The sequence below is a fragment of the Homo sapiens genome, chromosome 15 (genome assembly GCF_000001405.40).
Source record: "Homo sapiens chromosome 15, GRCh38.p14 Primary Assembly".
In the NCBI taxonomy this organism is placed as follows: domain Eukaryota; kingdom Metazoa; phylum Chordata; class Mammalia; order Primates; family Hominidae; genus Homo; species Homo sapiens.
The window spans coordinates 42,245,920-42,259,994 of record NC_000015.10 but is presented as its reverse complement, the minus strand read 5'-3'; the positions used below and the strand labels follow the sequence as shown (position 1 = coordinate 42,259,994).

The 14,075-nt window shown below is 40.6% G+C and overlaps 1 protein-coding gene across 22 annotated transcripts in view; it reads left to right on the top strand.

Annotated features, from left to right (window-relative positions):
* Nucleotides 1–14,075, top strand: part of TMEM87A (transmembrane protein 87A) — a 63,138-nt gene that overhangs the window by 13,590 nt on the left and 35,473 nt on the right. Inside the window, exon 7 of one of the 22 annotated variants that reach the window (NM_001110503.4) lies at nucleotides 1,005–2,052. The exons of the other annotated variants lie outside the window; for them this stretch is intronic. Coding sequence (NP_001103973.1) covers nucleotides 1,005–1,046 — 42 coding nt within the window. The 3' untranslated portion in view covers nucleotides 1,047–2,052. Of the gene's footprint in view, nucleotides 1–1,004; nucleotides 2,053–14,075 lie in introns of those variants that run through there. 22 annotated transcript variants of the gene reach the window in all.

Here is a 14,075-nt window from a genome sequence, read left to right as displayed (position 1 = left end):
TCCCCAAAAGTAGCCCCATACTCATCAGTCACTCCGCATTTCTCCTGCCCCCAGCCTCTGACAATCAGTAATCTATTTTCTTTCTCTGTACTTGCCTTTTCTGGACATTTTGTGTAACTGGAATCATATAATACATGGACTTGTGTCTGGCTTCTTTCACAGTTTACACTCTGTCTCAACTTTTACTTCCTGCTTGCACAGAACCTTAAGATCAGCCAGTGAATGATTAGGGCCTCCTCAGGTCTCTCCTGGACCTGTGCACAGCCCTGGGCATGTGTGCACAGCCCTGCACATATGGCCTTCTAGATTTCCAGGAATATTTTGGAGCTTTCCAAAATTCCTATGGACATCTCATTCTCCAATTTTTCCTTTTAAGTTTCCAATCAGCCTCTTAATAGCCTCAGTTGGTAAGGTCACCTCAGGCAGCTGTGATCTTGAAGGATTGCTGTTCAATGTTTTTGACAAATGCTTTGAGTACAGGGTTGTTGACACTGGGTGATCTCTGAGTCAGGTCAGATAAAGACAAGCCCTGAGAATGGAGCTTTTCAGCAATTTGCCAGACAGCTCAGGTGATCAGTCTTTTAGGGACCTCCAAATGTATTTTTTCCTTTGGGAGGCCTAGGTGGGCAGATCACTTGAGAGCCAGGAGTTTGACACCAGCCTGGCCAACGTGGTGAAACCCCGTCTCTACCAAAAATACAAAAATTAGGCAGGTGTGGTGGTGCACGCCTGTAATCCCAGCTACTTGGGAGGCTGAAGCAGGAGAATCACTTGAACCCAGAAGGTGGAGGCTGCAATGAGCCGAGATCACACCACTGCACTCCAGCCTAGGCAACAGAGTGAAACTCTGTGTTTGCTTCCCCTACCCCCTTTGCCTAGTGGCTGCTAAGCTGTTGTTTTTATCAGCTGTTAACAGTTTCAGGGACTTTGGTTTTAAGGAGCTTGGGAGAGAGGAATGGGAATAGGGTGAACACAGACATCTCAAGCTTGCTTTTCTTTCCTAGATTCAGATGCCTTTCTTGAAGAAACATTTCTTGGATTGTTGAAAGACTTTAATAATTTCCAAAGTTCCAAAAGTTGATTTTGATAGTTTTTGCCAGTGTTTTCGTTGCTTTTATGGATGAGTAGATTTTCAGAGTTTCTTATTCTGCCATTCTGAAAGTGTTCTCACTACCTAAACCCCAGTTTTATTTGTACAGAATTTTAACTGAATGTAAGTTAGGCATGACAGTCTTTGTTAATTTTTTTAAACAAAAGATAGCCATTAGGACTGGGTACAGTGGCTCACGCCTGTAATGCCAACACTTTGGGAGGCCAAGGTGGGCAGATGACTTGAGGTTGGGAGTTCGAGACCAGCTTGGCCAATGTGGTGAAACTTTGTCTTTACTAAAAATACAAAAATTAGTTGCTCATGGTGGCAGGCACCTGTAATCCAAGCTACTCAGGAGGCTGAGGCAGGAGAATCGCGTGAACTTGGGAGGTGGAGGCTGCAGTGAGCTGAGATCACGCTACTGCACTCCAGCCTGGGCAGCCAGTGAGATTCCATCTCAAAAAAAAAAGAAAAAAGATATTCATTGGATTTTCTCTTACTAATAGGTATATATTCACTGTGAAAATGGAGACGATATACATAAATGAAAAGAAGAAAATAGTAATCTATAATACCATGCAGTGATATATTTATCTTCCTATTCTTTTGTATATGGGCATGTTTATATTATTTTAAAAAGGGAATCTTAGAGTATGTATTATATGACTTTTTTTTGTAGCTTAGCAATATAACATGGACATGTCGTCAGTTTGGTAAATATTGTATTGCATCGTTACTTAAATGCTTGTATAGTGTCTTATTGTATGAGTACATTGCAATTTGTTCAATTCTCTGTTCTTGAACTTTTATGAGTTTCATTATCTTGGAATTTTATGCAGTGTTGTGATTAATATTTTAACTACATTTGCTTTTAAGTCTTTATTTTCTGATCTCAGAAGAATTGTATATTGGGATAAGTTTTTAATTCTATAACTTAAAAGTAAAAATCCTTTGTAATTTTATGTTCTAATAGTTTTAGCAGTTTGGTGTGATTACACAGAGCACATGCATATTAACCAAAATAAGATCATATTATATACCATTGTATAATTTTTTCTTTTTATTACCAAATTGGTACATTGAATACTACTTCACCTTTTTATGGCTGCTTAGTGTTCCATTTTATTATGATTTTAATAACTCCCAATTGATGAACATTGGGGTTGTTCCCAAATTTCCCCTATTATGGATAAAGTTATGTTCATAATGTCTAGCTATATTTCTGTGTACATTTATAATCTTTAGGCTAAATTCCTGGAGGTAGAATTGCTAGATCCACATGTATGCACAGTTTAAAGGTGCTTTTTCATAGCAATTTATGGCCCCAAGAAAGTGAGAGTGAGTGTCTTTGTTTATGTTGCTATGAAAGGACACCTGGAGCTGGGTAATTTATAAAGAAAAGAGGTTTATTTGGCTCACTGTTCTGTGGGCTATGAAAGAAGCATGGTGCCGGCATCTGTTTCTAGTGAGGGCTTCAGGCTGTTTCTACTCATGGTGGAAGGTGAAGGGGGGAGCCTGTGTGTGCAGATCACCTGGCAAGAGAGGAAGAAGGAAAGAGGGAGGAGGAGGAGAGGAGGTAGTGGGCTTTTTTTTTAATAATCAAGGAACCAATAGAGGGATAACTCATTACTGAAAGGACAGTGGCACCAAGCCATTCATTAGGGATTGGCTCCCATGACCCAAACACCTCTCTCTAGAATTCACCTCAAACATTGGGGATCAAATTTCAATATGAAATTTGGGAGGACAGATATCTAAACCATAGCAGTGAGTTTCCATCTTTCCTCACAAAAACAATGGCTGTCATCATTTAAAATAGATTTTATGCAGTTTGTCTAGTTAAGCAACAATTTGTTCTTGTAAATTGTATTTAAAAAGTTATCGTTAAGCCAGGCGCTGTGGCTCACACCTGTAACCCCAGCACCTTGGGAGGCCACAGCAGGCAGATCGCTAGAGCTTACGAGTTTGAGACCACCCTGGGCAATATGGTGAAACCTCGTCTCTACAAAAAATGGAAAAATTAGCCAGAAGGTGGCACGTGCACCTGTAGTCCCCGCTACTTGGGAGACTGAAGTGGGAGGATGGCTTGAGTCTGGGAGGCAGAGGTTGCAGTGAGCCAAAGTCACACCACTTCACTCTAGGCGATAGAGCCATACCTCGTCTCTAAAACAAAAACAACAGCAAAAAAATTATTGTTGAGGGTGAACCTTCATTTATATGGATATTGGCACTTGTGCTTTCTTCAGTTGTCTTCTGTGCACAGCATACTTTGAGTTCTACTCAAGGCTTGAGTCTTGTTACAGTGATTAAAACTGGCTGAAAGGTGAGCCTGTTGAATACCACAAGTAATATTTAGGAATACTTAGTCAAAATATAGTCAAAAGAAATGAAAGAGTTATCTATCTTTTGATCTTTCTTCCTGAAAATTTGGTCCAAGGCAAATACCTTATAATCCTATTTAAAGAATATTCACAGGCTGGGTTCAGTGGTAATCTCAGCACTTTTTAAGGCCCAAGGTGGGTGAATCACTTGAAGCCAGGGTTTGAGACTAGTCTGGTCAACATGACAAAACCCTATCTCTACTAAAAATGCAAAAATTAGCTTGGTGTGGTGGGGTACACCTGTAATCCCAGCTACTTGGGTGCATGAGGCCTGAGAATCACTTGAGCCCAAGAAGCAGAGGTTGTAGTGAGCCATGATTGCACCACTGCACTCCAGCCTGGGTGACAAAATGAGACTCTGTCTCAAAAAGCAAAAAGGATACTCACAAATTCAGTACCTCCATCCTATTTCATTAAAGCTCTGATTAAACATATATGTTTATGGGCCGGGTGTGGTGGCTCACACCTGTGATCCCAGCACTTTGTGAGGCCAAGGTGGGTGGATCACCTGATGTCAGGAGTTCGAGATCAGCCTGGCAAACATGGTGAAACCTCATCTCTACTAAAAATACAAAAAAAAAAAAAAATTAGCTGGGTGTGGTGGCGCACGCCTATAATCCCAGCTACTTGGGAGGCTGAGGTGGGAGGATCCCTTGAACCCAGGAGGTGGAGATTACATTGAGCCAAGATCGTTCCGTTGTACTCCAGCCTGGGCAACAGAGCAAGACTCCATCTAAAAAAAAAAAAACAAAAATCTATATGTTTATGGAAGAAAGGTCCTCTGCATGTCCCTTCTTCTAAGGAAATATTGATAAAAGAGAACACTTTAATATTTTGATTAACTCAGTTTTTTGGATTTAAGCAATAATGTGATACATTTAACATAATTTAAAAAAATTAATAGAGTTTATTGTTTAGAGCAGTTTTAGGTTCACAACAGAATTGAGTAAAAGGTACAGAGAGGGCAGTGCAGTGGCTTATGCCTGTAATTGCAGCACTTCAGAAGCCAGGGTGGGAGGATCACTTGAACCCAGGAGTTCAAGAGCAGCCTGGAAAACATTAGAGACACTATCTCTACAAAAAGCAAAAGTTGGCCGGGTGCGGTGGCTCACATCTGTAATCCCAGCACTTTAGGAGGCCCAGGCAGACAGATCACCTGAGGTCACGAGTTCAAGACCAACCTGACCAACGTGGAGAAAACCATTTCTACTAAAAATATAAAATTAGCTGCGCATGGTGGCACATGCCTGTAATCCTAGCTACTTGGGAGGCTGAGGCAGGAGAATGGCTTGAACCTGGGAGGTGGAGGTAGCGGCGAGCCAAGATCGTGCCATTGCATTCCAGCCTGGGCGACAAGAGCAAAACTCCGTCTTAAAAAAAAACAAAACCCCCAATTTACCCAGCATGGTTGTGCATGCCTATAGTCACCGCTACAGGGGAGGCTGAAGTGAGGATCACTTGAGCCCAGGAGGTCAAGGCTGCAGTGAGCCATGATCATGCCACTGTACTCCAGTCTAAGCAATAAAGCAAGACTCTGTCTCAAAAAAAAAAAAAAAAAAGGAGACCTCCCACATGCTGTGTCTATACCTATACACTTAGCCTCCCCCATCGTCAACATACTGCACCACTGTGGCACACTGTTAAAGTTGATGAACCACGTTGACATGTTATTATCAAAGTCTATAGTTTAAGGTTCACTCTGCAGTGTACATTGTATGAATTTTGATAAATGTGTAAAGACATCTTCACCTTTGTAGTATCATACAGAATAGTTTCAGTGCCTAAAAATCCTCTGTGCTCTGCCTGTTCATCTCTCCCTTCCCCTTCAACTCCTGGCAATCATTGATCTTTTTACTATCTTCATAGTTTTGCCTTTTCCAGAATGTCATCTAGTTGGAATTGTACAAATATGTGACCTCTTTAGATTGGCTTCTTTCAGTTAGTAATATGCATTTAAGTTTCCTCCATGTCTTCTGGTGGCTTGATAGTTCATTTCTTTTTAGTGCTGAATCATATTCCATTGTTTGGATATATCACAGTTTATCCATTCATCTATTGAAGGACATCTTGATTGCTTTCAAGTTATAACAATTATAGATAAAACTGTTGTAAACATTTGTGTCCAGGCTTTTATGTGGACATAAGTTTTCAACTCATTTGGGTAATTATCAAGGAGCATGACTGCTAGATTGTATGGTAAGAGTATGTTTAGTTTTGTAACAATTGCATTTTTGACAATGCAGTGCTTAATCAAAAACAATGTTTTGGGAACAAAACTACTCTTGTAGGCTGTCTGTCTGACAGCATCAATAACTGGATTGTCACTTGTAGCTTTAATTACCTTACTCATGGGGTTAAAAGGTTCTTTTGAAGGGCACTTACAATTTTGAGATCATACCATGAAGACAGTGCTTTAAAAACAGTTCTGTTCACAAGCTAGTGGTAGACTGTGAAAAAGAGAAAAAAAAAAAGAAAAAAATAGTTTTGTTATGGAGAACAAAATAATTAATAGTTGAGATGGTAGTTAAGAGCCCAGGCTCTCGGGTCAGATGTCCTAGACTTTGAAATCCCAACTTCACAACTTAATATTTCCCTTGGAAATGTTATTGTGCTTCAGTTTCTTACATAATAAAATGGAGCTAATAGGAATGATATTACCAAGAATTGTGGAGTAGTGAGGTCCAGGTCTCCATGCCTCCACAAAAGCAACTAGTAAGCTGATGAAAGCTATCACATTCAGCTTTCACAGAACTTTGAAATCTAACCAAAACTTAATAAGGAAAAAGTTCAACAAAGAAAGAAGCTGCTACATTACATTAAGAAAGTGCAGTGATATTGTAATTTGTTTACCATACCCTCCTTCCCAGTTCAGAGGCAGGAAGATGGCAACTCGCAGTCGTGGTGCAGGTTGCTGGTGCCAGGGGAACTAATACAGACCTTTTTCTTAAAGACTTGCCATTGTGTGTTTTCACCTGCCTGGAGGCTCCCTGAAGGAACCTTGCCAGGACTTAACTTTGTTTTCCCCAACTTAGAGTGTTCCCAGGGCTGGAGTGGCTTCCTGGGTTGTGTTTGCCAAAAGCATTTGAATGCAGAAGTATTATGTGCATAGGGAAGGGGATAACAGTGGGGATAAGCAATAGAGAGACTGTCAAGCATGAGAAGGAAAGGGTCCAGAAAGGAGATTTGTGGGAGAACAAGGCTTTTTAAGGCTTCTGTGTATATTGAGCTATGAAGAAAGCCATATATATTCTCAAGACTGGACATACGATCAGAAAAGACCTTAGATGACCCTAAGCTTTCATTCTGGCTCTGTACAAGCAAAAAGTGAAGAATAAGGAATGGCTTTAATTGGCCCAGCTAAGCATTGAAGGATTGCGCCAGGGTGCAAAGACTGGGAGGATATTCTGTTCTTTTTTGTCTTTGGCTCCTGGTGTTTAAGAAATCTTTGTCAAAACACTAGCTGACCACTAAGCTAAAGGAATATAGATTCCAGTAGCCACACAGGTCTAAGAATGCAGACTTTACAAAAATGGTTTAGAAAACTTACTAAGCAAAAGAGACATAACCCATATTATTATTACCAGCTAACAAACCCCAAGGAGGGGGCAGATTGTGGTTTCCAGAGTTGCCACTTTATAACATTCAGTTTTCAGTGGAAAATTATGAGGCATGCACAGAAACAACGTATGGCATATTTACAGGATTAAAAAAAATACATGCTTTGAAGAGGAAGCCTCAGCATTAGACTTACCAGACCAAAGATTTTAAGTGAACTGTCTTAAATATACTCAAAGAGCTAAAAATAAAAAAACCATGGATGAAGAAACTAAAGGAAACCAGGAGAACATAGAGATAAAAATGATAAAAAGAATGAAGATGAGCCTGAGAGACCTATGGGACACCCTCAGGTGTATCAACATCCACATAATAGGAATTCATCAGAGGGAGAAGAGAGGGAGAAAGGTATGGGAAGAATATTTGAAGGAATAATGCCCAGAAACTTACCAAATTTGATGAAAGTATGAATTTCAGAAAGATTGAGAGGCTCACAAATCTCAAACTACAAGCAGGAATGAAAAAGTAAAATGTTGTATGTTCATAAAATGGAATATCATTCATCTGTAAAAATGAATGGGAGCTGGATTCCAAGATGGCCAAATAGGAACAGCTCCGTCTACAGCTCCCAGCGTGATCGACACAGAAGACGGGTGATTTCTGCATTTCCAACTGAGGTACCTGGCTCATCTCACTGGGAATGGTTGGACAGTGGGTGCAGCCCACGGAGGGCAAGCCGAAGCAGGGCAGGACATCACCTCACCCAGGAAGCGCAAGGGGTCGGGGGATTTCCCTTTCCTAGCCAAGGGAAGCCGTGACAGACTGTACTGGGAAAACTGGGACACTCCCGCCTTAATACTGCATTTTTCCAACAGTCTTAGCAAACGGCACACCAGGAGATTATATCCCGCACCTGGCTCAGCGGGTCCCACGCCCACGGAGCCTTGCTCACTGCAAGTGCAGCAGTCCCAAATCGAACTGCGAGGTGGCAGCCAGGCTGGGGAAGGGGCATCGCCATTGCTGAGGCTTGAGTAGGTAAAAAAGCGGCCAGGAAGTTCGAATTGGGTGGAGCCCACCACAGCTCAGTGAGGCCTGCCTGCCTCTGTAGACTCCACCTCTGGGGGCAGGGCATAGCTGAACAAAAGGCAGCAGAAACTTCTGAAGACTAAAACGTCCCTGTCTGACAGCTCTGAAGAGAGCAATCGTTCTCCCAGCACAGTGTTTGAGCTCTGAGAATGGACAGACTGCCTCCTCAAGTGGGTCCCTGACCCCCATGTAGCCTAACTGGGAGACACCTCCCAGTAGGGGCCAACTGACACTTCATACAGCTGGGTGTCCCTCTGAGATGAAGCTTCCAGAGGAAGGATCAGGCAACAATATTTGCTGTTCTGCAGCCTCCTCTGGTGATAACCAGGCGAACAGGGTGTGGAGTGGACCTCCAGCAAACTCCAACAGACCTGCAGCTGAGGGACCTGACTCTTAGAAGGAAAACTAACAAACAGAAAAGAATAACATCAACATCAATAAAAAGGACATCCACACCAAAACCCCATCTGTAGGTCACCAACATCAAAGACCAAAGGTAGATAAAACCACAAAGATGGGGAGAAACCAGAGCAGAAAAGCTGAAAATTCTAAAAACCACAGCATCTCTTCTCCTCCAAAGGATTGCAGCTCCCCGCGAGCAACGGAACAAAGCTGGACAGATAATGAATTTGACGAGTTGACAGAAGTAGGCTTCAGAAGGTTGGTAATAACAAACCTCTCTGAGCTAAAGGAGGATGTTCAAACCCATCACAAGGAAGCTAAAAACCTTGAAAAAAGAGTAGATGAATGGCTATCTAGAATAAACAGTGTAGAGAAGACCTTAAATGACCTGATGGAGCTGAAAACCATGGCACGAGAACTATGTGATGCATGCACAAGCTTCAGTAGCTGATTCGATCAAGTGGAAGAAAGGGTATCAGTGATTGAAAATCAAATGAATGAAATGAAGCGAGAAGAGAAGTTTAGAGAAAAAAAGAGTAAAAAGAAATGAAAAAAGCCTGCAAGAAATATGGGACTGTGTGAAAAGGCCAAATCTACATCTGATTGGTATACCTGAAAGTGATGGGGAGAATGGAACCAAGCTGGACAACACTCTTCAGGATATTATCTAGGAGAACTTCCCCCACCTAGCAAGGTAGGCCAACATTCAAATTCAGGAAATACAGAGAACATCACAAAGATACTCCTCAAGAAGAGCAACCCCAAGACACATAATTGTCAGATTCACCAAGGTTGAAATGAAGGAAAAAAATGTTAAGGGCAGCCAGAGAGAAAGGTCGGGTTACCCACAAAGGGAAGGCCATCAGACTAACAGACAATCTGTTAGTGGGGGCCAATATTCAACATTCTTAAATAATTTTCAATCCAGAATTTCATATCCAGCCAAACTAAGCTTCATAAGTGAAGGAGAAATAAAATCCTTTACAGACAAGCAAATGCTGAGAGATTTTTGTCACCACCAGGCCTGCCCTACAAGAGTTCCGGAAGGAAGCACTAAACGTGGAAAGGAACAACCAGTACCAGCCACTGCAAAAACATGCCAAATTGTAAAGACCATCGATGCTAGGAAGAAACTGCATCAACCAACGGGCAAAATAACCCACTAGTATCATAATGACAGGATCAAATTCACACATAACAATATTAACCTTAAATGTAGACGGGCTAAATGCCCCAATTAAAAGACACAGACTGGCAAATTGGATAAAGAGTCAAGACCCATTGGTGTGCTGTATTCAGGATACCCATCTCATGTGCAGAGACAAACATAGGTTCAAAATAAAGGGATGGAGGAAGATTTACCAAGCAAATGGAAAGCAAAAGAAAAAGCAGGGTTGCAATTCTAGTCTCTGATAAAACAGACTTTAAACCAACAAAGATCAAAAGAGACAAGGCCATTACATAATGGTAAAGGGGTCAATTCAACAAGAAGAGCTAACTATCCTAAATATATATGCACCCAATACAGGAGCACCCAGATTCATAAAGCAAGTCCTTAGAGACCTACAAAGAGACTTAGACTCGCACACAATAATAATGAGAGACTTTAACACCCCACTGTCAATATTAGATCAATGAGACAGAAGGTTAACAAGGATATCCAGGACTTGAACTCAGTTCTGCACCGAGCAGACCTAACAGACATCTACAGAACTTTCCACCCCAAATCAGCAGATTGTACATTCTTCTCAGCACCACATCACACTTATTCCAAAATTGACCACATAGTTGGAAGTAAAGTACTCATCAACAAATGTAAAAGAAGTCACAACCGTCTCTCAGACGACATTGCAATCAAATTAGAACTCAAGATTAAGAAACTCACTCAAAACCACACAAATACATGGAAACTGAACAAACTGCTTCTGAATGACTGCTGGATAAATAACGAAATGAAAGCAGAAATAAAGATGTTCTTTGAAACCAATGAGAACAAAGACACAACATACCAGAATCTCTGGGACACATTTAAAGCAGTGTGTAGAGGGAAATTTATAGCACTGAATGCCCACAAGAGAAAGCAGGAAAGATCTAAAATCGACACCCTAACATCACAATTAAAAGAGCTAGAGAAGCAAGAGCAAACAAATTCAAAAGCTACTAGAAGACAAGAAATAACTAAGATGAGAGCAGAACTGATGGACATAGAGACACAAAAAACCCTTCAAGAGAATCAATGAATCCAGGAACTGGTTTTTTGAAAAGATCAACCAAATAGACCTCTAGCAAGACTAATAAAGAAGAAAAGAGAGAAGAATCAAATAGATGCAATAAAAAATGATAAAGGGGATATCACTACTGATCCCACAGAAATACAAACTACCATCAGAGAATACTATAAACATCTCCACACAAATAAACTAGAAAATCTAGAAGAAATGGATAAATTCCTGTACACATAGACCCTCCCAAGACTAAACTAGGAAGAAGTTGAATCTCTGAATAGATCAATAACAGGTTCTGAAATTGAGGCAATAATTAATAGCCTACCAACTAAAATAAGTCCAGGACCAGTTGGATTCACAGCTGAATTCTACCAGAGGTACAAAGAGGAGCTGGTACCATTCCTTCTGAAACTATTCCAACCAATAGAAAAAGAGGGAATCCTCCCTAACTCATTTTATGAGGCCAGCATCATCCTGATACCAAAGCCTGGCGGAGACACAACAAAAAAAAGAGAATTTTAGACCACTATCCCCGATGAACATCGATGCGAAAATCCTCAATAAAATACTTGCAAACCGAATCCAGCAGCACATCAAAAAGCATGTCCACCAAGATCAAGTTGGCTTCATCCCTGGGATGCAAGGGTGGTTCAACATATGCAAATCAATAAACGTAATCCATCACATAAACAGAACCAAAGACAAAAACCACATGATTATCTCAATAGATGCCAAAAAGGCCTTTGACAGAATTCAACAGCCCTTCATGCTAAAAACTCTCAATAAACTAAGTATTGATGGAACGTATGTCAAAATAATAAGAGCTATTTATGACAAACCCACAGCCAATATCATACTGAATGGGCAAAAACTGGAAGCATTCCCTTTGAAAACTGGCAGAAGACAGGGATGTCCTCTCTCACTACTCCTATTCAACATAGTGTTGGAAGTAATGGCCAGGGCAGTCAGGCAAGAGAAAGAAAGAAAGTGTATTCAATTAGGAAAAGAGGAAGTCAAATTGTCCCTGTTTGCAGATGACATGATTGTATATTTAGAAAACCCCATCATCTCAGCCCAAAATCTCCTTAAGCTGATAAGCAACTTCAGCAAAGTCTCAGGATACAAAATCAATATGCAAAAATCACAAGCATTCCTGTACGCCAATAACAAACAAACAGCCAAATCATGAGTGAACTCCCATTCACAATTGCTACAAAGAGAATAAAATACCTAGGAATCCAATTTAAAAGGGATGTGAAGAACCTCTTCAAGGAGAACTACAAACCACTGCTCAAAGAAATAAAAGAGGACACAAACAAATGGAAGAACATTCCATGCTCATGGATAGGAAGAATCAATATTGTGAAAATGGCCATACTGCCCAAGGTAATTTATAGATTCAATGCCATCCCCATCAAGCTACCAATGACTTTCTTCACAGAATTGGAAAAAATACTTCGAAGTTCATATGGAACCAAAAAAGAGCCCACATTGCCAAGACAATCCTAAGCAAAGAGAACAAAGTTGGAGGCATCACGCTACCTGACTTCAAACTATACTACAAGGCTACAGTAACCAAAACAGCATGGTACTGGTACCAAAACAGACATATAGACCAATGGAACAGAACAGAGGCCTCAGAAATAACACCACACATTTACAACCATCTGATCTTTGACAAACCTGACAAAAACAAGAAATGGGAAAAGGATTCCCTATTTAATAAATGGTGCTGGGAAAACTGGCTAGGCATATGTAGAAAGCTGAAACTGGATCCCTTCCTTACACCTCATATAAAAATTAATTCAAGATGGATTAAAGACTTAAATGTTAGACCTAAAACCATAAAATCCCTAGAAGGAAACCTAGGCAATACCATTCAGGACATAGGCATAGGGAAGGACTTCATGACTGAAACACCAAAAGCAATGGCAACAAAAGCCAGAATAGATAAATCAGAACTAATTAAAGAGCTTCTGCACAGCAAAAGAAACTACCGTCAGAGTGAACAGGCAACCTGCAGAATAGGAGAAAATTTTTACAATTCACCCATCCGACAAAGGGCTAATATCCAGAATCTACGAAGAACTTAAACAAATTTACAAGAAAAAATCAACCCCATCAAAAAGTGGACAAAGGATATGAACAGACACTTTTCAGAAGAAGACGTTTATGCAGCCAACAGACACATGAAAAAAATGCTCATCATCACTGGTCATCAGAGAAATGCAAATCAAAACCACAATGAGATACCATCTCATGCCAGTTAGAATGGTGATCAGTAAAAAGTCAGGAAACAACAGGTGCTGGAGAGGATGTGGAGAAATAGGAACACTTTTACACTGTTGGTGGGGGTGTAAACTAGTTCAGCCATTGTGGAAGACAGTATGGCAATTCCTCAAGGATCTAGAACTAGAAATACCAGTTGACCCAGCCATCCCATTACTGGGTATACACCCAAATGATTATAAATCATGCTAGTATAAGGACACATGCACACGTATGTTTATTGCAGCACTGTTCGCAATAGCAAAGACTTGGAACCAACCCAAATGTCCGTCAATGATAGACTGGATTAAGAAAATGTGGCACATATACACCATGGAATACTATGCAGCCATAAAAAAGGATGAGTTCATGTCCTTTGTAGGGACATGGATGAAGCTGGAAAGCATCATTCTGAGCAAACTCTCGAGGACAGAAAACCAAACACTGCATGTTCTCACTCATAGGTGGGAGTTGAACAATGAGAACACTTGGACACAGGGCGGGGAACATCACACAGTGGGGCCTGTCGTCGGGTCGGGGGCTGGGTGAGGGATAGCATTAGGAGAAATACCTAATGTAAATGACGAGTTAATGGGTGCAACAAACCAACATGGCACATGTATACCTATGTAACAAACCTGCACGTTGTGCACATGTACCCTAGAACTTAAGGTATAAAAAAAAACAACAAAACTTGGGTCTCAGTACTTAGAAAATAGTTAACCATGATCAATAAAATATTTGCCAATTCCTTCAACTCAAAAAGAAAAAAATAAATGAAGCTCTGATACATACAGCAATATAGATGAACCCTGAAAACATTATGTTAAGTGAGAGAAGCTAGACCCATTTATATGAAATGTCCGTAATAGATGACTCCATGGAGACAAGAAGTAAATAAGTAGTTGCAAGTGGTGACAGAGGAAGAAATGGGGAGCTACTGCTTAATGAGTACAGGGTCTCCATTTCGGTTGATGAAAATGTTTTGGAACTAGATAGAGGTGATATTTGCACATCATTGTGCTTGTACCACATACCATTGATTTATACGCATTAAAATTGTGAATT